General features: G+C 46.4%; 1 long non-coding RNA gene across 2 annotated transcripts, besides 2 other annotated features; it reads right to left on the bottom strand.

Annotated features, from left to right (window-relative positions):
• Nucleotides 1-6,332: 6,332 nt before the first annotated feature.
• Nucleotides 6,333-23,707, bottom strand: LOC105374294 (uncharacterized). Of its 2 annotated transcripts, none has more exons than XR_924873.2 (4): nt 23,641-23,707; nt 21,010-21,198; nt 18,938-19,139; nt 6,333-7,535 (listed from the first exon to the last, which is right to left on the bottom strand). It is a non-coding gene; the product is annotated as an uncharacterized LOC105374294 (long non-coding RNA). The 2 variants fall into 2 exon arrangements; XR_924874.1 differs by lacking the exon at nt 6,333-7,535 and adding an exon at nt 16,182-16,332.
• Nucleotides 11,057-11,557: an enhancer, noted in NCBI's record as "H3K4me1 hESC enhancer chr3:194707036-194707536 (GRCh37/hg19 assembly coordinates)". NCBI's record gives its function as "activates a minimal SCP1, AML or CMV promoter by ChIP-STARR-seq in primed H9 embryonic stem cells {active_cell/tissue: H9 hESC(primed)}" and the evidence as "EXISTENCE:reporter gene assay evidence [ECO:0000049][PMID:30033119]".
• Nucleotides 12,850-13,350: an enhancer, noted in NCBI's record as "H3K4me1 hESC enhancer chr3:194708829-194709329 (GRCh37/hg19 assembly coordinates)". NCBI's record gives its function as "activates a minimal SCP1, AML or CMV promoter by ChIP-STARR-seq in naive H9 embryonic stem cells {active_cell/tissue: H9 hESC(naive)}" and the evidence as "EXISTENCE:reporter gene assay evidence [ECO:0000049][PMID:30033119]".
• Nucleotides 23,708-23,808: the final 101 nt, after the last annotated feature.

Consider the following 23,808-nt stretch of genomic DNA (forward strand, 5'->3'; position numbering starts at 1 on the left):
ACAGCCCGACCTGAAGAGCTCTGGAACTAGTGAAGGAGATGAATGCATTTGCAGGGAGAGTGACCACCTTCCCTCCAGTCGGCTCCACCTTCTTCATGACAGCAGCCTTCACAATGACAGCAGCCTTCACAATGACAGCAGTGACGAGGGCACCCCTCAAGGCTTCAGACCTTCAGGGCCTTAGGACTCATGTTCTGTTTTCTGGCTACACTAACGGAGCTAAGGGAAGGAGCCTCTGCTTCCGCTGCTCAGATGCTGGCTGGTGCCCGCCATGCCTTCATCATTCTCACATCTGATTCAGGGGCTCTCCCTTTCTCCAGGCTTGGGTTCGGGGAACCTGAGGGCCACTATCTGCTGGGTTCCATCAGCAAGTCCAGCAGCACAGCTGATCTGACAGGTGTCACATGACTCACAGGCAGGCAGGCTCAGTGGGACAAGTCCTAAACTAGGACTCAGGGGACCGCCTGGTCTCTGTTGTCTACTAACCAGCTGTGTGACCTTCAATAGGCCACTTCCCTTTTCTAAGCCTCAGTTTCCATAGCAGTAAAACCAGAGGGCCCTTCTCTAGAGAGTTCTTCCCGCCCTGACAGTCTCTCTCTCTCTCTCTCTCTCTCTCTCTCTCACACACACACACACACACACACACACACACATATCTGGGTGGGTATGTTTTACAGAAGTACTGTATTGCTCTACATTTTGTAACATGCTCTTAAGTTTTTGAGAAAATGATATACAGAAGGATTTGTAACTTCTTTGCTATTCACTCAAATGAATCCATTTTGTGTTTTAGTAGCTTCAGATCACTTCAACAGCCAATGCAAATAATCAAGACAGAAGCAGTGCAACCTCTTGGAGTTGGCCTATTTCCAGTGGTACAGCCAAACGCAATGGCATTATTTACCCAAATTGTTGGGCAACCAGCATGCACTGGAAGCAGATGCCAGCAGACGCCTTCCCGGACGCCAAGTCCTAGGAGTTGGCTTAGGCCCTTAGCTCAGGATGGAGGCAGCACCCACTGCATTGACACAATGCTGTGGGGTGATCCAGTCCTCAGCAACTACAGGGAGGATCCAGCCACTGGGGCAGACTGCACTTCAGGGACATCAGAAGCGGAAACCTGGGCTGGGGAGGTGCTTCCAAAGGAAACACCTGGAAGAGGGAGAAAGGATAAAAGAACCACCATCTAGATTAGGAAAGCAAGGCAGTTCCTGCCACCCAGAATAGTGTGTGCTGCTTGTTTGGAAAATGCATGATCATTTTCAGAGTCCTGAGGCCCGTCAGAGACTTTATGTCCAGCAGTGCCGATGGCCTGGTTCTCAGTCAAGGTAGTGGTCTGAGCTGCCATGGTCGGTCTCCTGCTCCAAACACATAGAAATTCTAGGTAAAGTACAGAAAATTAAATTTCAAAACCTATAACGAAGCTCAGAAGCTAAAAAAGCATCTGTGGATGCTCAAATAAAGAGGAGTCTTGCAGTGGTAATCAGGATTGAGCTACACCCTGTGTGTGCCTTAGAGGCTGGGTTTAGTTTTCAAGTTATCAGAAATCATATTGAGCTATAGAGATAGTTTATCACCCTGCATCTTTTAAAAACCAGATTAGGATATAATTTACATACAGTGAAATTCGCCCTTTTTAGGATATAATACTGTGAGTTCCGGCAAATAAATACAGTCATAGAACTACTACCCCCGTCAAGGCATGGAGCAGTTCCATCACCACGAACGTCCTTCTGCCCTTTGTAGCCAACTCTTCCCCCTCCCCTGGAAACTACTGGTCTATATTTGCCCTTCTATTTCTGCTTTTTCCAGAATTCCAGAGAAATGGAGTCATACGGTGTTTAGAAAGGCTGCAGCTTTAGTTCTTGCCCAGGAAGTGACACCAAGGCCACAGCCTTGCCGACAGCAGGAATACTAGGACTGAGTTCCCCAAATGAAACCAGGAGTCAGGAAAGGGCTCTCCTGTTTAGGAACTGGGATTAGAAAAACTGCTTGCTGGCCTGAATATTAGGCACAAAAGTGGGTCACTTACCTTGGACCATGAGGGAAACTGTCACCAATAAAATATCTGAACCTCTAGGTTGTATGACACAAAATTATGGACAGGTATTCTCATTGCTACCAGCACGGTGTGGATGTCCCGAGCCTAGAAACTCACATAAATACTGGTCTAGAAACTGTTTGCCCTTTAGAGGCAACAGATGCAATCACAATGTCATTCCAGAGGAACATCTCTGCAATCCAGGCATATGCAGGACCCCTCAGGAGATAGCTTCACCCACATAAATACAAAGCGCGCAAAGAAATCCAAAGCTCTGAGCAGTAAACAGCAGATTCAACCAGAAAACATGTCAGAAATGTAAAATTGTATAGAAGTCTGTGAGGGACTTTAAAATAGCTATATTTGAAGTATTTGAAGAACTCAAAGAAAGAATAGACTGATAAGAGGCCGGGCGCGGTGTCTCATCCCTGTAATCCCAGCACTTAGGGAGGCTGAGGCAGGCGAATCACTTGAGGTCAGGAGTTCAAGATCAGCCTGGCCAACATGGTGAAACCCCGTCTCTACTAAAAATACAAAAATTAGCCGGTGGTGGCTGCAGATGCCTGTAATCCCAGCTACTCGGGAGGCTGAGGCAGGAGAATTGCTTGAACCTGGGAGGTGGAGGTTGCAGTGAGCCAAGATTGCACCACTGCACTCTAGCCCGGGAGACAGAGCGAGACTCTATCAAAAAAAAAAAAACACAGAAAGAAAGAAAGAATAGACTGATAATGCAAAAACAGAATATTGTAGGAGACAATTACAGAAATGAATAATATAATAATTGGTTTTTAAAAACTAATGGTCAAGTTAAATCATCACTAGACAACTGAAAGAGGAATTAATGAGTAGGATGATAGAGCAAAGGAGATCACAGATATATAAAGAGATATGAAATCTGAGAGAGGAGTTCAGAGATGTGGAGGAGAGAGACTTATGCCTAACAGGAGCGTGAGAATACAGAGATGGGGAAAGAGGCAATATTTAAAGAGATGATGGCAGAAATATTTTTCAGAGATTAGGAAAGACCTATGGCCCCACATTAAATAAGCATACTAAGCCCAAAGCAGGATAAATAGACATAAATTCACATCTACAAGGAAAAAAAATGGTAAAAGCTAGTTTAATGAAGAGATAGATCACCTACAAAAGAATGGCTATCAGATTAACGGCAGAGCTTCCTTCATCAACATAGATATCCTAAGACAATGACTTATATCTTCAATGTGCTAAGAAAAAATGTCTTCCAAGGGGATTATAGTGTAGAACAGGTCCTCTCCTTCTCCTCCAGTATGTCTACACTTAAGAGGTCAATAGGGCCAGGTGCGGTGGCTCACGCCTGTAATCCCAGCACTTTGGGAGGCCAAGGCAGGTGGATCACAAGGTCAGAAGTTCAAGACCACCATGGCTAACATAGTGAAACCCTGTCTCTACTAAAAATACAAAAATTAGCCTGGCATGGTGGTGGGCACCTGTAATCCCAGCTACTCAGGAGGCTGAGGCAGGAGAATCACTTGAACCCAGGAGGTGGAGGTTGCAGTGAGCCGAGATCGTACCACTGCACTCCAGCCTGGGTGAGAGTGAGACTTCGTCTGAAAAAAGAAAAAAATATTCAATGTACCTGTGAAGGAGCTCTTGTTTATTGAGCATGTCCCTTTGAAGAAATGACTGAAGAGAGTCATTCCTCCGAGAGGTAGGAGCTGGTGGAATGGGACCTGCTAAGTCCACATTACCCAGGGACTGAGACTCGCTCCTTGAATTCTATATTCAAGTAAACTGGCGTTCAAGATATGCCAGGTGGATCAGCTAGACAGAGGTGAGCTAAATATTTGTTTAGATATATTAAGATAGTTTAAGGCCCAGAGATCCCCTCTGAAAGAACTTGAACTAGTCAACAATTCAGAGGGGAAATAGAAAGTGAACCCAGAAGAAAAGCACGACTGGAAAAAAAAAAAAACAAGTGTATTAATTTGCTAGGGCTGCCATAACCAAGTACCACAGAGTGGGTGGCTTCAACCGCAGACAGTTATTTTCTCCCAGTTCTGGAGGCTGGATGCCCAGGGTCAAGGTGTCAGCAGCTCTGGTTTCTGAGGACTCTCTCTCTGGCTCGCAGACGCCGGTCTTATTGCTCTGTCCTCACACGGCCTTTCCTCTCTTTGCAGACATGTGTCTGTGTCCAAATTTCTTCTTCTTTTAAGGACATCCATCATATTGGATTAAGGCCCATTCTAAACACCTCACTGTAACTTAATTACCTCTTTATTTTAAAGACCCTATCTCCCAATACAGTTACATTCTGAGCTATTGGGGCTTCAACATATGAATTTTGAAGAAACACAATTCAACCCATAACAGTAAGTGTGTACAAAGAAATTAGTAAGATCTAAATAAGTATTGAATCATCATTATCACCATCATCTCATCATCATCATCATCATCAATTTGGGAGATTTAAAAACATGAGGAATTAAAATAATAGAAATAGTAAAAAATGTGAGCAGTGAAAGGTTGTAAGTAAGAAATTTTGAGTGTATAAAATTACTGTTTTTATTCAGGAGAAGGATAAAGTGTTGATTAACTTCAGGCTTTGTTCAAAAAATACACAGTGAAGTATGCATATTATAAGCTTTAGGAAAATAGTGAAAGATCAGAAACACATGCATAATTTTCAAATCAGTAGAGGGCAAAAGAGGGAAGAAAATCTAATCAGTCTCACAGAAAGCCACAGAAAAGGAGTGGGAAAGGCAAAGAAACAATACATGAAGAATGCAAAATAAGATAGACAAAAATCCAAATCATCACAGTAATCACAGAAATCGTAAATGGATTAATTTTTCCTATTAAAAGATAGACACTCGGAGTACACTTCCAATGTCCAGATTATGCAGTTTGTAAGAAATGCACTAAACATAATGACAGAGCTTGAAAATAGACATAAAAAGATATACCAGGGGTATCCGTTATAAAGCTTTGGTTACAGGGTACAGAAGAATCAACCAAATTGGTTAATAATAAAGTAGATTTATTAGTTTAGATAAACAGACGTTGCAGAGGCAGGATCAGCTTCAGAGTAGCTTGATTCAGCAACAATCTCATTAAGGACCGAGCATCTTCCTATCTCTGCTCTCCCTTCCATGGTATCAGCTTTACTTTTAGGCTGGCTTCCCTTTGGGAGAAAATTGACTGTAGGATTTCTAGGTTTCATCTCACCTATCCCATCAAGAAAATTCGAGGCAATTCTAAAGAACAATAAGAGATTAGGGAATATGGCTTAACCAACAGGATATAAACAATTCTTATAAAGCTATACTAATAAAACTGGGTGATATTTATAGAGCAATAAAAAATAGACCAAATTAATAGATCAGAGAGCTTAGAGACTACATATATATAGATATACTTGGTGTTGGGACAATGGCTTTCCATGTAAAAGAATAAAATCAGGTTCCTATCTCATAGCATGCACAAAAATAAATTCCAGTTTGGCTAAAGCCTATATATTAAAAATATAACTTTTAAGCTACTAAAAAAAAATCTTTATGACATCAGGTAATAAAAAGCTTTCAAGATATAAGAGAACAAACCGTTTAAAAATTCATAGATTTGTCTATATCAAAATCAAAATGCTTTATGACAAAAAATGATAGATTAGAAGTTGTTTACAATATGAAATACCAAAAAGGTAGTCTTCAGAATATATAAAGACCTTCTACAACTCAATAAGAAAAAGGCGCTCAACCCAATAGAAAGAGGGTAAGAGATTTAAAGGGGTAATTCACAGAAGAGGAAATCCAAGTGGTCATGAATACATGAAAAGACGCTCAACTCATGGAAGCACTCACAGAAAACAAGTTGAAATCTTCTCATATCATGTCAATCTCCATATTTTAGAAAAAAATTAAAAGTCTGAAAATACTAATCTTTGTGAAAATATGAGGAAAATGGGAACTTTCAGAAACACTGCTAGTGGGGGATAAATTAGCACAGCCATTTGGGGAACAGCTTTGCAGTTATTATTAACATTGAAAAATGCACACATTTTATGACCGAAAAAATTCCCAAGGCATCAACCCTAGAGAAACTCTTCTATGAGGGTAAGAAAACACCTCAGCCTTGTAATAATGAAAACATTTTTAAACAACCTAAATTTTCATCTAAAGTAAAAGTGGTACATATTAATTAGCAGCAGTGAAAAGCAATGAACTATATCTGCGTATCTTGACATGAACAGATCTTCTAAGCCCCGTAATGAGTGAAAAAATCAAAGTGACATATATATAGAGAGAGAGAAAGATTATTTATTACATAAATTTATTACATAAATTTTTTAAATGTGGAAGATAATACTTTACATGATTAGGGACACAAATATATATTATAAGCATTTTTTAAGTGGACAAGAAGGCACATACCAAATTTATGACAATAACTTCCTCTGGAAAGGAAAGGAGGGAAATAGGAATGGGTAGTGATAAAAGTGAGATTCAATTTCATCAGTGAATTTCCTTTTTTAAAGCTCTCTGTGGGATTAATATGATGCTGTGTTTTAGACCATTTTCTGTTGCTTTAATAGAATGACTGATACTGGGTAATTTATAAAGACCAAAAGGTTATTTGGCTCATGGTCTTGGAGGCTGGGAAGTCCAAGGGCATGGCATCAGCACCTGGTGAGGGTTTTCTTGCTCATCATAACATTGGGGAAGGCATTATACAGAGAGAGAGCAAGCAAGCACATATGAAAAAGACTGCAAAAGTGAGCTGAGCTCATTTTATAACAACCCACTCTCGTGAGAAGTAACTTCCTCCCTAGAGAACTAATTCACTCCCATGATAATGGCAGTAATCCATGCAGGAGGGCTCCACTCTTGTGATCCAAGGATCTCTTAAAGGCCCCACGTCTTAATACTGTTACATTGGCAATGAAGTTTGTAACACATGAACTTTTAGGGGGCACATTCAAACCAGAGCAGGCTGGGACTTCAAATCTCACCCTACTGAGTTTCTTCCCCTTCTCTGACCTGCATCTCCCATTGTCTTGCCAGTTTCTCCTGGGAGCGCTTCCCTGATAAACTGTGTGCACAGTGAACCTCATCCCACGGTCTGCTACTAGAGAGCCTGTCCTAAGACGATGAGGCACTCAAGCGTCTCCCCCTCACTCCAATTCTTTGCTCCATCTTTGGTAGGCTGAAAAATGACTCCTGCCCCCACAAAAAATCAGTATTCTAATCCATGTGACCTGTGAATTTTACATTGTATGGCAAAACAAAGGGGTCTTTGCAGATGAGAGTAAATTAAGGATCTTGGGACGGAGGGTTATCTGGATACGCCCTAAAGGCACACACATTTATCCTTATCAGAGTGAGGCAGAGGGAGATTTGACCACACACACAGATGAGAAGGCCATGTGACGATGGATCAGGGAGAAATTCAAAGATGCTGGCCTTGAAGATTGGAGTGATGAGGCCACAAACCAAGGAATGCCAGCAGCCACCAGAAACTGGAAGAAACAAGAAACAAATTATCCCCTAAAGCTTTCAGAGGAGCATGGCTGTCTATGATTTTGAACTTCTGAGCTCCAGAACTGGGAGGGAATAAGTTTATGGTAATTCGTTAAAACAGCCATGGGAAACCAACATGCTCTCCTACTAATAAAAGCTTATAATCCTTACACCATGCTTACCATATCCCAGGCCCTGTGCTGAACTTTCACCCTGGTTGTCTCACGTAAGACTCACAATATCTCTTTGGGTTAGTTAATTCACAGGAGCAAAAACTGAGGTTTGAAGAAGTTAAATGACTTGCCCAGGGTGACACAGAGTCAGGATTCAGACACAGGCAGGCCAACTCCAGAGCTGTCCTTCTCTACAAGTACTGTGGTCCCACCTTTCAAGTTGGGAGGCCCAGCAGGGATGGTTATCAAGCAGGGAAGAAGGGGAGGTATGTCCAGTCTCTGCTGTATGTCAGGATCCCAGAAAAAAAGCATTAGAAGCCTGGGCTCTGGTATCTCTCCACCTGCCAGACCCCACCCACCAGTTCCAAGGAAAGGCAGCCCCAGCAAACGTCTCCACAGGGACTGAGCAAGGCAGATGGCTGGGCTGCTGAGCAGACGGAGGGAGCCCAGGGCTTTCTGTGCTCAAGGCCTGCTCAGAGAAGGTTGGTCTGGACACCCCAACCAGCCAGTTCACCAAGCACTGGCATCTTCCCACAAGAGAAGAAAGGAGGGAAAGATGGAAAAGAAAGAGGGAGGAAAACAAAACAGCCCAAACAGCCCAAATCACTCCTCCCCCAACAGCTGCGTTCAACAAAGGGACATTAAATTAAATTCTTGAGGAAACAGGGCTCAGAGGGTAGGACCATGCCAAGTGAGCCCAGGAACACTTACCACTCTTCGGAACCCAATTAGCCTCCCTTTGGGACACTGGGCTCTTCATTAATCCCTTCTCTGGCTGAAAATGAGGTCCCTGTGCTTTGATCCCCTCTGCCTGCCTGCCAGGGCTCCTGGCTGGGAAATGTCACATCTGCCACTGCTCACACCATTGTCTGAGCTTACAGACCCATGGCTCTCCAGTAGCATAGGCCACGCTGCCAGAAGCCCCTCCAAACACTCACCCAGACTTGAGTGTGGTCCCCAGATACACCCAACATACTCTCTGGGCACCATCAGAGAAAACTCAGACCCAGTACCTGCCATGAAAGAACTTGAGATGGAAGAGGGAGAAAAACTTATACAAAAACCTTTGATATGGCCCATAAAATCTCATCAGAGCCTCTACTTTACTGAGCACTGGCCTAATCCCATTCCCACATGGTCCATAAACACTTTTGTGTCCCTTACCCCACTGGGCCTGTCGCCCTGCTGTCCTGCCCTGATGCAGCTGGAGGCTGGGGGGCTCCAGCCTTCTCCTGAGGATTCCTGTCTAAATGCTCAGCTGCTCTGGAATTCACAGGAGCCCAGGGCATGGGGCCCACCTGGTCTCCTGCTTCCTTCAGGTTGTTGCAGAGCCCCTGTCCTCCCTCGCCTTCTCTACCCCTTTGCTCCCCCTGCCTCGCCTGCAGCTGTCCATGAGCTCTGCTCAGCAAGTCCCAGCTGACCTGGATCTTTCCTTTTTTTCCAGCTAAACAGATATCTGCCTTGCTAATACTGACTGCCTTTCAAAGCATAATTATGATGTGTTGTGTTAAAATCACACTCCAGTAAGGAGCAGGAGACAGGGGAGAGGAATGGATGGGATGAAGAGGGCCAAGAGTCTCTTCCTGTCTCCCGGTGCAGGGATTAAGAGACTGAAGAGGGCATTCTGGGGAAACTGAGGCTCAGAATGGCCCAATAACCTGCCCAAAGCCAGACAGTCTGTAACTGGTGGAGCTAAGATCCTGCTGTTGACTTCATTTGCAGGTGGAGGAGGATGAGAAGGAAGTTTAGGGTGCATCTGCCAGGTCTGGGCAGAGCCTGCCCCAGTTGTGTTCAAGGTCCAGTGTTCAACACCCCCACCCTGGCCCCATGCGGGACTCCAGGGAAAGCCTGGAACCACGCCCCGGGAAAACACACAGGAACTCTGAGGGCTGGGCAGGGAGGGCTGCGGAGCTGCCCAGGACACCTTGCCTGACAAGGGCTCCTGCCATGCAGCTCATTTCAGCATAACACCTGCTTACGACGGCCTGCTCTGCCTGGGGAAGGATATCAGGCCCCGTGGAGGATGCACAGCGAAGCCAGCACGTCCCTGACCTCAAGAAGTTGCCAGCCTCCCGAGGGAGATGGCTGTCGCACGGACTCCCGCACCCACCAGAAGGCCTGCAGGGAGACCTCTGGGGCCGCTTTTCAGTCACGACCTCTATGCTCCACGCCCGTCCTCTGGGCGCCAACTGGTGATGCTGGAGCTGGGACTCTGCCCGCGGCTCCGCTCTGCCAGCCGGGTCTGTGTAGGCTCTGCAGCCCGGGCGCTAGAGCGGCACCTCCAGGCTGGTGCGGGAGGCAGGACTTGCTCTTCCTATTTGCTCCCTGTCCGCTTCCTGCGGGCTTCCTGTTCCTGGGAGCTCGTTGTCTCCCTCCCCAGCCAACAGCCGGCAGTGCCAAACCGGAGCCGCAGCGGAACGCAGCTTGCAGCTTCTCCAACTCTGGCAGAAGCAGTTGCGTCACCCTGTGGCCCAAGAGCCGGCTCAGACCCCTGCTCAGAGGTTGGGATCCCAGGCAAGTGGGCCCTTGTCTGCAGGGCCCCAGCGCCAGCGCGCAGAGACCTCTCCTCAAGTCGGCTCTGCAGGGTCCCTCCGCTGTGTTTCTAAATGTCCCCCTTCGCCCCTTCAGCCACAGAAATAGTAGTAGCTGCCTTCTGCAGTTGCCACTTCTGCTCACCCTGTCAGTCTCTGTCACCCTGATGACTGCAGAGAAGAGTCTGGAGACCAAGATGGACCTCCCAGGACTTACAAAGCAGAGACTTTCACTCCTGCTCTGCTGAAAATCCCCTTCATGCCCTGGCTTTCCTGGACTGTGTCCTCGTTTCAACCTCAGTTTTTTTTGTTGGTTTGTTTGTTTTTGTTTTGTTTTTGAGATGCAGTCTAGCTCTGTCGCCAGGCTGGAGTGCGGTGGCGACATCTCAGTTCACTGCAGGCTCCCCCTCCCGGGTTCAAGCGATTCTCCTGCCTCAGCCTCCTGAGTAGCTGGGACTACAGGCGCCCGCCACCGCGCCTGGCTAATTTTTGTATTTTTAGTGGAGAAGGGGTTTCACCAAGTTGGCCAGGATGGTCTCCATCTCCTGACCTCCTGCTCCGCCCACCTCAGCCTCCCAAAGTGCTGGAATTACAGGCGTGAGCCACCGCGCCCGGCCTCAACCTCAGTTCTTTATAGGAAACTCTCTGTGCCCTCCTTATTGGATGCTGACTGCTGCTGGATCTTTAGTGGGTAGCTAGCCTTTTGATCTCATCCTCAGGATCTTGATGGCCCCCTCTCTGATAGCAGTTGACCTTATTCGTAGAACTGCTCCTCCACATGGCCCATCCCTTAGGATTTGACTTCACTGCCATAGCAGTCCCCTCTGCCCTAACTTGGCCTGAACATGATGTCAGTCCCAGAGGTGGGCCTGTGGCCTAAGGCAGCTGACCACAGCCTTCCCTGGAACCTGTATACTCTGAGCTCTTTCTTTTCCACAGTCACCAACTAGGGTAATTTAAACTGGGTTGTCTGCAGCGGGGCCTCTGCCTCCCACGGCTCCCCGTCCCAGGTTATCCTGTGTGTAGTAGAAAATAATGGTGACCATTCACAGATTGAGAGCTGGCTGCATTGAGGCTGCCATCCGGTCATGCCTGAGGTCCACTCCACCCCTGTCTTTCCCAATTTCTGGAGCCCAAAGCCTCCCTTTGTGTGTAGGCAAGCGTGAGCTGGGTTTCTGTCACGCTCAACAGAGGGAGTCCTGACTGATGTGGCAACGCCCCCCACACCTAGGTCGTCTGGAAACAAGCTGAGTCAGGGCTGGTCTAGTCAGACTCCCTACCTGGTTCTGCAACCTCACCACACAGTCTCCGCCGTGCCACAGTTGCTGCATAGCTTCCTGCTTATGCAATGGCTTTGCCAAGGGCCTAGACACCCAGTCGGGCCTGGCTGAACCAGGGCCAAGTTGAAAAGGCAAAATCCAAGATGGAACTAAGCAACAAAAGAGTCAAGAATCCAGGCCCCTCCCACCCCAGAGCCGTGGGCTTGACGCTGAACCTGAGTCTTCCCCAACCCCCTTGTATGAGGACGTGTGTAGGCGGTAAGTGTTGTGCGACAATAGGATTATATTCATTCCACTTCCTTAATGAGCCAGGCTTCTTTTGGAAATATCAGGCTCCAAAGCTGAGACATATATAATGTTATATATAAATAGAATGAATATAAATAGGCTGGGCACATTGGCTCACGCCTGCAATCCCAGCACTTTGGGAGGCTGAGGCGAGTGGATCACCTGAGGTCAGGAGTTCGAGACCAGCCTGGCCAACATGGTGAAACCTCGTCTCTACTAAAAATACAAAAATTAGTCGGGCATGGTGGCAGGCACCTGTAATCCCAGCTACTCAGGAGGCTGAGTCAGGAGAATGGCTTGAACCCAGGAAGCAGAGGTTGCGGTGAGCCACGATAGTGCCATTGCACTCTAGCCTGGGTGACAAGAGTGAAACTCCATCTCAAAAAAAAAAATGAATATAAATATATATGAATATAAACATATGTAGAGAGAATGAATATAAATAGATATATACATATGCATATGTGCGTGTGTGTCTAGACATATAGATACCTATATACACCCCAGAATATCTTTCCTATTTCTGCAGGAATAGGGTCCCAGGGGCCTCAGAGGCTGTTTAGTCCAGCCCACTCCCCTTCCCTCCCTCCTCCCAGATAAGGAAATTGAGGCTTCCCACCAAATCATGTAGTTGGTGACTCGCCACGTTGGGAGCAGAATCCAGGCCTCCTCTCGAACACATCAGTGTCTGACTGAACTGAAACTGCACACAAGGCAGATGCCTGACAGCTACCACCCTCAGACGTCAGTCTAGCAGGGTTCCCTGCGAGGACCTTAAGGGAGGAGAGGGGCAGCTGGAGGCCCTGAAGTCAATAGGCGTGCAGGGCCGTCCTCTCCTCTGAGGTTTTTTGCGTGGGACTTCCGAAGAGAAGAAGCTTCTCCCAAGTATATTTTCAAAATTCTTCTCTACATCAGACACACGGAAAAAACACAGCCAAAAGGCATCGGTGTGCTGACCCCAGCCCAGGCCCAGCAGGCAGCATGACGCAGGAAAAGGGGCCTGGCCCCAGCTGGCTGGGCAACCTGGGGCAAGTCATTCAGCCTCTTTGGGCTTTTGCTTTCCTATGTGCCACGTAGCGGGAGAGGGCATTCCAGTTCCCTACCCAACCTACTGTCCAAAGCTTTTGTCTCCAACTCTCTCATGCCAAGGCACAGCCCTGACTCTGCCAGCCCCCTGATCAGGGCCTCCCCAGGCAACAATAGGACCATGCCCATCACCGGGTACAAACTTTGTGGAGTTGTTGTGGACAGGGAGTGCCAGGCCTGGGTTTCCCTGGAGAGACACCGACGTGCAGGTACCACACATTTTGACTCCTGTCTTCTAAGTCGTAACACTGCAGCTCCCAGGATTTGCCAATTCAGCCCGGCTGCCCCCACCACGCTACTGATTACAGAACGGTCTAGAGACCAAGATGAACCTCCTGGGACTTAGGAAGCAGGACTGTGAATTCCCTTCATGCCCTGACTCTCCTGTACCTGTGTCCCAATGTCAAGTCTGAGAACCACAGAAACCTAGGAAGTCAGGGCTTTAGAGGAAAGCTCGTGATTTTAGCCTCCTCTCTCCCAATCCATTTTACAGACGAGGAAACTGCCCCAGAGGGCGCAGGAGAGACAGGGCAGGACCAGGAACTAGCTCACAGGTTGTCTAGATCTAGTCCCCACCCACTTTATTCTAGGTGCGCCCTTGGGAAATTCACTTCATCCCTTAGAGTGGCAGTTTCCACCTCTGTCAAGGTGAAAATAATCCCTTCTTTGTGGGGCTGCTGGAAGGATGAAGGAGGTTAATAAATGTAAAAGGCTTGGAGTAGTGCCCACCAGAGAAATTTGTCATTGTGAGCTCTATTAGTCACTTGCTCTAACAAACACCTCAAACCTTCAAAGTCTTAACACAAAAGAAGTTGATCACTCCTATAACATCCAACGCCAGCATTCCTTATGGGTGGGCTATTCGTCACATGGGGACCAGGAACTCAGGTTCATCATTTCCTGTGGTTTCCCCATCCCCGAGGACCCAGAAGGCCTCTGTTTCCAGTCAACAGAAGGGGGAAGACAGAGTGGAGAAAGCCCATCCACTCCTAAGCCTCAGCCCAGGGGTATTGCACGTGACTTCCATTCATACTCCACTGGCGAGAGCCAGCTCTATGGTGGCCATACTTGACATGGAAGAGTGGGGAGATGTAGTGTCTGGTCGAGTGGCCACCTCCCAACAACAAGCCCACCATACGGAAGGGGAGCCCACATTTGTCTCTGCAACAACTAACAAATCCTCCTGACCTAGTGGCTTCACATGACACTTATTGGTTCACACTCTCTGAGTCAACAATGTGGGCTGGAACCAGCAGTGGTTTTTCTGCTAGTCTCATCTGGGGTCACTTATGCAGCTCCAGTTAGCGGACAGCCCGGCTGGGCCTGCATGGCCTAGGACGGCCTCATACACATGTTCATCCCTGAGCATGCTATCAGCCAGGGTGTCTCGGTTCTCCAGCAGCGCATTCACACGGCAGCAGAAGTCCAAGGCGGCAAGAGCAAGACACCACAAGGCTTCCTAAGGCCTAGATTTGGCAACCACGTAGCATCATTTCTGCCACATTCTACTGATCAAAGCAAGTCACCAGGCAAGTCCAGGTTTAAGGAGTAGGGAGACAGACTCCACCTCTCAAAAGAATCTGTGGCCATTTGCAATCTACACACAGGGGTGGAGGAGAAGGATCACCCTCAGAAGATAAGAGGTTGTATTTTACACAGACCAGACACTCAGTGTCCTCTGCCATGGCTATCTGGTTGTCAGGATTTGAGAAGGAGTGTGGCTGCATCATACATATATGTAACCTATGGAGTCAACGAATCCACTGGGGGAGGGCAGAGAGAGATTATTTAAAGAGTGTCTTTGACTGGGTGCGGTGGCTCACGCCTGTAATCCCAGCACTTTGGGAGGCCGAGGTGAGCAGATCACGAGGTCAAGAGATGGAGACCAGCCTGGCCAAGATGGTGAAACCCTGTCTCTACTAAAAATACAAAAATTAGCCAGGCATGGTGGTGCATGCCTGTAGTCCCAGCTACTTGGGAGACTGAGGCAGGACAATCGCTTGAACCAGGGAGGCAGAGGTTGCAGTGAACTGAGATGGTGCCATTGCACTCTGGCCTAGTGACAGGGTGAGACCCCGTCTCAAAAATAAATAAATAAATAAAGGGTGTCTTTGATCCCAAGGCATTGACTCCATGCCTTAGTGTGGCCATATGACATGATAGAGAAGACACATTTATTATCCCCTCCCCAGTGTCATTTCCCACATGCCTGTCAGAGGATGAGCACTTGATTGGGCAGAGTATGATCCTAATGACTAAAGAGACACGTTTTTCATGGTGCATGATCTCCAGATACCTGTCAACGACTTCCTCTGGTGTTCAATCGAAGAACTAACGATTCCAGTGCTGGAGGAAAATCTGGCCGGGATGCACTCACAGAGAGAGAGAGAGTGTCTGACTCCAGTGTTATGCCTTCCTAGGGGACTTTCAAGGGTAATGTGGACTACACAGGATTCTAACCTAGTGTGCTAAGCTTAGAGCCCATCCTTCAGGTTAGCTAGGGCTCCCCTGGAGCACACATCTGTGCCAGCACAGGTGCTCAGTCACAGAGAGGAGTGTGGTTGGTCTCGTGCTAGGAGTCATGGATCTAACCAGTATGACTGCGGTGAACTCCTTTCCTCTCCCGGCCCTGGGAAGGGAACACTGGCCGACTAGAAAGACTCTAAAGGGAAGTGACCAGCACAGAGGGGCACAGAGCAGTCTGCAGACCAAGTCATGGGGATGATGGAAACGGCAGGTTTAGCCAGAGAAGAGAGACACAGAGAAGTTAAATATTCACATATTAGACAGGGTCAAACATGCTTGGTCATGTTATTATTCCCTATCCAGAGGCCTGCTGTGCTCTAGAGCAATCCTCCTCCTCCTCCTCCTCTTCCTCCTCCTCTTCCTCCTCCTACTCCTTCTCCTCTTCCTCCTCCTCCTCTTCCTCCTCCTCCTCTTCCTCCTCCTCTTCCTCCTCCTCTTCCTCCTCCTCTTCCTCCTCCTCCTCTTCCTCCTCCTCCTCTTCCTCCTCCTCCTCTTCCTCCTCCTCCTCTTCCTCCTCTTCCTCCTTCTCCTCTTCCTCCTCTTCCTCCTGCTCTTCCTCCTCCACTTCCTTCTCCTCTTCCTCCTCTTCCTCCTCCTCCTCCTCCTCTTCCTCCTCCTCTTCCTCCTCCTCTTCCTCCTCTTCCTCCTCCTCCTCTTCCTCCTCCTCCTCTTCCTCCTCCTACTCCTCTTCCTCCTCCTCCTCCTCTTCCTCCTCCTTCTCCTCCTCTTCCTCCTCCTCCTCCTCCTCTCCCTTTCTGTCTCTCTCTTCCCTCCTTTGCTCCTTAAATTCAATGTCACCAGGTGATCCAATATATAAAAGCTGTGAGTGGTGATGCTCCCTCGGGCAGTTTAGATCTTCGCTTTTAGTGGAAAACACTTGCATTACGTGAAACTGAGGCAGGAGAATAGGACCTGGACGCAAGGAACCTAATTAAAATTTAATAATTAGAAAATTTTAAAAGCAATTTTTATTACAAATGCACTTCTTAATGAGATAAATGGAGATAAATGGAGCTGGCTTTTTTCCAACTAGGTTGTGTATCAGTTGATGAATATGACTTACTGTTTTAATGAGTCGGAGTTGAGCATCAATTTTATACCTATTTTTCTGGTTTTTTAGATGTAGGCATTGAGAAACTCTAGTCATATCAGTAGATGGGAGTGGAAGGAGTTTTGTTCTAAAAAGGTCATTTAATTCTCTGAACTACTGACTTACGTGCCTGAAAATCATGTAGTAAACTACTATTAACTTTGATGAAAACCAAAAACTGAAAACCATTTGTTTGGCAAAAGGATTTTTACCAGTCTCAAGAGTCATTATCCTTGTCATCTTCTGGAAAGAATACAAAAAAATTCTATTAAGACTTAGGAAATGACTCTTAATCAGACCCATTACTCTTTCCCTAAGAGGTACTTGACTTAACCCATTATTGTCAGACGAGTTTAGGAAATCAAAATCTATTACTTAATTAAACTTTTGACAATACAACATTTTGATAAAATGCTTTTATATCATCACTTGCTTTAAATATATTTTCAGAAAACCTAAAACTGCAAATTTAGTTAATTCAAATTATGAAAAATATGTCATATAACTTAATTATCAAACCAGTCCTTACTATTAAATCTATCAACCAAATCAGGCTTTATGTCAGAAAAAGTCCAGCTTTAGAAACATGCTAACAGGCATTTTATGGAATACTATAAAACTTAGTAGAAGATAAACTTTGTAAAAGAACATCATAAGGTAGTGTTTTAAAAATGGTTCGAGCTTTACATCATTTTTGTCCAATGTAATATTTAACCTATTTTATAAGCTTTAAAAACAAAATAATAGCTCAATATATGATTACTGACTACTTAATTTATAAAGTTTATAATAATGTACTGTGAAGCCAAAATTGCAAGTGTTTTAGGAAGTGAGGAATATGATAAAAGCCATACTTCTTTGAACTCTGGTGTTTCGCTTGGGGAATTAATTAAATAAGAATCAGAAATAATTCAATTAATTTCACTGAATATAATGATCACATTTTACTATGTATTTAATAAAAGAGAAAGATAAATTCCACTAAAAAAGTTGGTCCACACTTAGCATATTTTAAATGGGAAGTAGAAAATATAAGACATTCTACAAAATGAAATAAGATGAAGTTAACTCTCCTAGGACAATTTATGATGTGATTGGATAAAATAACTTTTACCTACTTTATTTATTTATTTATTTTTTATGTTTTTGAGACGGAGTCTCGCTCTGTCACCCAGGCTGGAGTACAGTGGCGCGATCTCGGCTCACTGCAAGCTCCGCCTCCCGGGTTCACGCCATTCTCCTGCCTCAGCCTCCCGAGTAGCTGGGACTACAGGCGCGCACCACCGCGTCCGGCTAATTTTTTTGCATTTTTAGTAGAGACGGGGTTTCATCTTGTTAGCCAGGATGGTCTCGATCTCCTGACCTCGTGATCTGCCCGCCTCGGCCTCCCAAAGTGCTGGGATTCTGTAATCACCACGCTTGGCCTACCTACTTTATTAAATAATGAGCACAACATAGGAAAGACATCACATAAAAGTTGTATTTGTATATTTTTCATGATAGACTCAGGAAACATTACAGTTATATTTGGGGGCTAGAAGAATTAAAATTCTTAAACAAAAACAGTTATTACTCCCTCTACCTGACTCTACTACATTTCTGGATTGAGAATATCCCAGCCTGAGTCCCAATTCCCTATTTCTAAAGTGAGACTTCACCTCTAACGGAAATATGCATAAGACCAGGAACGGTTTTGTACTCCAGGGTGTTTTAATGGCTTGATTAGTCCTTAAAAGGCGTCTCCCCGGCCAGGCATGGTGGCTCACGCCTGTAATCCCAGCACTTTGGGAGTCCCAGGTGGGTGGATCACCTGAGGTCGGGAGTTCAAGACCAGCCTCACCAACATGGAGAAGCCCCATTTCTACTAAAAATACAAAATTAGGTGGGTGTGGTGGCGCAGGCCTGTAAACCCAGCTAGTCGGGAGGCTGAGGCAGGAGAATCGCTTGAATCTGGGAGGTGGAGGTTGCAGTGAGCCGAGATCGAGCCATTGCACTCTAGCCTGGGCAACAAGAGCAAAACTCCATCTAAAAAAAAAAAAAGTCTCCCTTTTGTGTAGCACCCCAGGGGTTTCCCTATTTCTCACAGGACGATGGGTATCTTGCTTTCTCCAGGCAGGGGAAGCATTACCGTCAACCCAAGTGCATCCCAGGGAGATGAGTTTAGGAAAGATCGTCATGCCTGTGAGGCTGAGAATCAGAGCATGATTCCCTCAAAACCTGCAGGGCTCAAGGCCCCTTGGTGACCTCTTCCACCTGCAGGGGTTTGCAGCCCTCACTCTGAACACCGCTGCCTTCGGGCGCTGGCATCCACAGTCTCTCTTCACTGCAGGTTCCGGTGACTCAGTCCAGCTGCCCCCGCCCGCCCACACTTACCCACGGGGCTTCACCCTCGCTGCCTCCCAGCTGCCCCCGTCGCCCCACACTTACCCTCGGGGCATCACCCTCGCTGCCTCCCAGCCCCTCTCACGGAGGAAGGCTGAACATGTTCTCCCTGGAAACTGAGGCCTGGGTGAGGAGGGGCTGCTGGAGAGCAGGAATCTGCTCCCATCTTCAGGACCCTCCCTGGAGAAGGACACTTTCCCACCTCCACTAGATTCTCTGGAAATTCTTCAGTCATCATCTGTATTCCCTGAAAAAAAAAAAAAAAGTGGGGGTGGGGGCACGTTTTATCCCTTAAAAAAGGGAGAAGTCTTTCTTGATTCCCAAAACAGCAGAAAATCAACATTATTTGGCTTTTTTACTTCCAAGACAGACTTTTGGAGTTTGCCAGGCTGGGCTGCTTGCGTTAATGGCAGCATGGATCAGGGAAAATGCCAAGACGCTGAGGTCTGAACACCTGGACTCCAATCCCAACCCCGCACTCATCCACCGTGTGACTTTGAGCAAGTCACTCCACCTCTTTGAGCCCTAATTTAAGTCCAAAATGTGGTGGTTGATACCTGACTCCCAGAGTATGGGGGAGGATTAAATGGGAGCATACACCTACAGGACCCAGGACAGTTCCCTGGGGTCAGGAGATGCCCCGTGACATCCTTTCCATCCCACTGTCCCTTGCTCTCCAGCTCAGAGTCAGGACCCGTCCAGCCCTCTGGGACAAGCCCAAGGAGCTGCTGCCCTATTTCCCTTCTCTAACCCTCAGCCCTAGCACACAGGCTCGGCTCTCTGGGTTCCCCCTTTTGCAGGCAGCCCCTGCCCTGCCCCAGCTCCTGCCCCAAAGCCTTCCTCAGACTTCACAGGGTCCGTGTCCTTCCCCTCTGAGCCTGGACCACTGGGTGTCACACACATGTGTACACTCTTGCACACACCAGTGCACAACCTCCCCCCCAACCCCCTGCCTTCCTAGGGCTCCCTTTGTGGCTGAAGCCAAACCCAGAGAAAAATGCAAAGTAGAAAGAAGAAGAATGGAGTCCATTTTTCACATTCTTCCAGGATCCATGAACTTCAGGGTGCTCAGATGGGAAATGAATATGGGCCTCTTTTTTAATCCTACATCTACTTCATTGTCTCAATTGGGAGAGTAATTAATAAATGATTAATGGGAATGGCTTCTACAAAGATGGAATGATCCCGAGATGTGTTGCAACCTGCTGCCCAGATCGTCTTTAGAGAATTTAGAGCTGCTGATAGCTTCAGGTTGACTCTTTTCCTTTACATAGCAGATAATGCCCCAGGCGGAGGGACTGTCTCCCCAGAGCTGAGCACTTGACTCACATCAAAGGGAAAAACCAAGCTTAACATTAAACAGCGGGTTCAAAGTACCAGAGCAGCCCATCTCCAAGGCAGTGTGAGAGCCCCAGGCTGCGGGCCTTCCAGGCCAGTGAGAGCCAGGCTTGTGCCCTGATGATCGAAGGCACCTTCTCCCACTGCCCTGGGGATTTCATGGGAGCCAACAAGATGCCACGGAAATTAATACATAAATAAAAGGAAGTATAGACCCACAAAGGCAGCAGCAGTGACCTTCGGATGAGATCTTAGGGTTGACTTTGAATTGTTATTTATTGTGCTGTTTTTCTGCATTGAGCTTGCATTATTTCTGGAAACTTTGTAATGTAATTTTTGAAGAATCTGGTACAAGGCATCTGAAAGGCACCTGATTATGTAAAGGCAGACAGACTGAACACAGATGGTCTGCTCAACCCCTTTTCAGGGTGAAAAAATGCTTGGTTCTAAGGTGGGCAGAGGTCCTGAGGACTTCACAGCAGGACCAGGTCAGATGACACGAAGGGAGCGAAGACTCTCACTGAGATCACTCTGCCACCGCGTCCTCTACAGTCTCTGCCAGGCCTCCAGGCCCTCATGCCCTGATCCTGCTGAGACTCCCCAGCCCAGCTTTCCCACGAGTGCCAGGCCAGAGAACCCACAGCCAAATGTATTTTCAAAGCCAACGACAGCTCTGCCTCCACTTGAGTGAGCTTAGGAAACGCAGGAAGAAAGGAATCCAGGCGCCCAAGAGGTGAAAGGAAAGAAGTGCTTTACTTGACCAAAGGTAGAACACGTACTTCCGGGGGGTGCAGAGCTCTTGACTATTCGAAGCTTCCACATTTGAATTTCGCTCCAGAAGGCGCAGTCCGGGCTTTGAACTGCTTTTCTGCTGGAAAGCAGCACCACCGTATCCCCTGGTTTTGTGCTTCCCTTGCTACTGACTTAATTGAAAGTCCAGTTTCCATCCTTCAAAATGTAACCTAAACCTGAAAATGTGTAGAGACACAAAGTAGATGAGGGTGTCGAGGGGTGGGTGTAGGGATGGGGATTAACTGTAAATGGGTGTGAGGGATCTTACTGGGGGTGAAAATGCTCTAAAACTGGTTTCTGGTGATGGTTGTGCCACTCAGTAAGTTACTAAAAGTCATTGAATTTTACACTTAAAATGATTGAATTTCATGATCTGTAAAATAGACCTCAATAAAGCTAGTCATAAAAACAAAACAACAACAACAAAAACAAAACACCCATTCTTATATAACCTCCTCTCCAAACTCTTCCCAGCTGCCATCACGCATGGAGCTGATCACGCCCTCCTCGGAACGCCTGCAGCTCTCTGGGTTTCCCTCCCTAACCTGTGAGATTGGTGGTTGTTCCTGCCTCTCCCATCTAGACCAGGCCCCGTCATCTCTGACTGCCCTATGTCTCTGCCCCAGGGTCGCCCAACGTCCTGAAAACCTGCCTGGCCTGAATAAATGAAGGGAGGACGGGGGACAGCTTGCAAGCTCACTCTATGAGCTCCATTGCCCAGGCCTTCTTGGCTTCCGGGAACTTAACTGGACACACAGACCTATTTCATTCACACCCCCAAGCCACCCCATCCCAGGCCCAGTGGGACAGACAAGATCACATGCCTTGTGACCCAAAACTCAAGGACACTGCTACATCCAAGCACAGAAGGAAGTCGCCTCATCGAAGCTCTTATGCTAAGGTATTCATACCCCCGTTATTTATAACAGTAACAAAGCTGAAAGACCAATAGGGCATTGGTTAAATAAAAGTACCACCGTAAGAGGCATTATATAGTGAATTAAAAGGATATTCCTCAAAACAATTTAATGGATGGAAGACTATTTACAATATCATAGCAAGCCACAAAAGCAGGTTGTAAAAATGTAAACTGTATGTATGATCCCTATCTGGTTTTTGTAAGTAAAAACTGGAAAGAATAGCAAAATGTTTACAGTGTATTTGTGGATGCTTTTCATTTCTATCCTTATACTTTTTTGCATTTTCTAATTTTCTACAATGAACATACATTACTTATTTAAAAAATCACTTAAAGAATATAGAAAAGCCCAAAGAGTAATACAATAAAAGCCATGTAGCTGTTCCCTAAAATTAGGAAAGATCCTATTTTATTTACATCAATCTCATGTTTTTAAAGAATAAAACAAAACAGATTAGATAAAATCTTCTTTAGATAATATCTTCTTTATTCTCTTCCCCAGTCCTAGTCCCTCCCAACCTCTCCAGAGACAACAGCTTTTTTAGATTAGATGTAGATCCAGTCCATGTTTTAATATTTGTATTATATTGACTACATAGAATTATAATAGATTTTTGGGCCAGGCGCGATGGCTCACGCCTGTAATCCCAGCACTTTGGGAGGCCGAGGCGGGCAGATCATGAGGTCAGGAGACTGAAACCATCCTGGCCAACATGGTGAAACCCTGTCTCTACTAAAAAAAATAAAAATAAAAATTATCTGGGCTTGGTGGCGTGCACCTGTAGTCCCAGCTACTCAGGAGTCTGAGGCAGGAGAATTGCTTGAACCTGGGAGGTGGAGGTTGCAGTGAGCCAAGATTGTGCCACTGCACTCCAGCCTGGGCGACAAGGGCAAAACTCCGTCTCAAAAAAAAAAAAAGTATAATAGATTTTTTTAAATTCCTCTTAAATGTACCAATAAAATGCATCATACTGTGTATAACACCTTGCAACTTGCATCTTTCACGTTGAAATATACATTTTCTTTCATTCACTTAACTTCCGTATAATAGTCTATTGCATAATTTGCCACATATATTCATCTATTCCTCCTCTGATGGACTTCTGATTTGTTTCTAATTTTTGCTGTAAGACGCAATACAGTGAATATCGATGGGCGTGTTTTCCTGTGCACACTAGAGCAGTGGTTCTCTAGTGTGGTTCCAGGACCAGCAGCATCAGCATCCCCTGAGAACTTGACAGAAGGGAAAATCCTCAGGCTGCACCCCAGACTGAATTAGAAACTCTGGGGTCAGTGCCTGGCAATCTGCAGTTTGGAGGCAAACTACATGTGGTTTGAGAACCATTGCTTTAGACTAGAGAACATAGCTAGAAATGGAATCCCTAGGTCCTGGGGCCTGCCGTTTTAGGGTCCACCAAGTACCCCCCAACAGCTCTCGAAGCAGCTTGCTGATTTACCTCCCACCAACGGCGTTATGAGGGCTTCTCCACGTCTTCCCCAGTACTGGCCCTGTCAACCAGATTACTTTTAGCCAAGATGATGGATGGAGATGCTATTTCATTGTTGTTTAAATTTGCATTGCCATGATTATTAAAGATGTTTCACGTACATATTAACCACTCAGTTTTCTTCTTCTTTCAATAATTTTACAATCACAAAAAACAGATTTGAAAACATATACACTTCAAGCCGTACTCACTTGTCTTATCATCCTGTTTAAGACATGAAAGACTGGACCAGAACTCCATGGCATGTCCAGCCACCCAGACACCTCCCTGTTCCGTGGTCTGCCCCTCGGCTCTGATCTCAGTCTCTAGGCCTCTCCCAGGATGACCTCCCACGCTGAAGCTCACACTCTCCTCCCATA

This window comes from Homo sapiens, chromosome 3 (genome assembly GCF_000001405.40).
Source record: "Homo sapiens chromosome 3, GRCh38.p14 Primary Assembly".
In the NCBI taxonomy this organism is placed as follows: domain Eukaryota; kingdom Metazoa; phylum Chordata; class Mammalia; order Primates; family Hominidae; genus Homo; species Homo sapiens.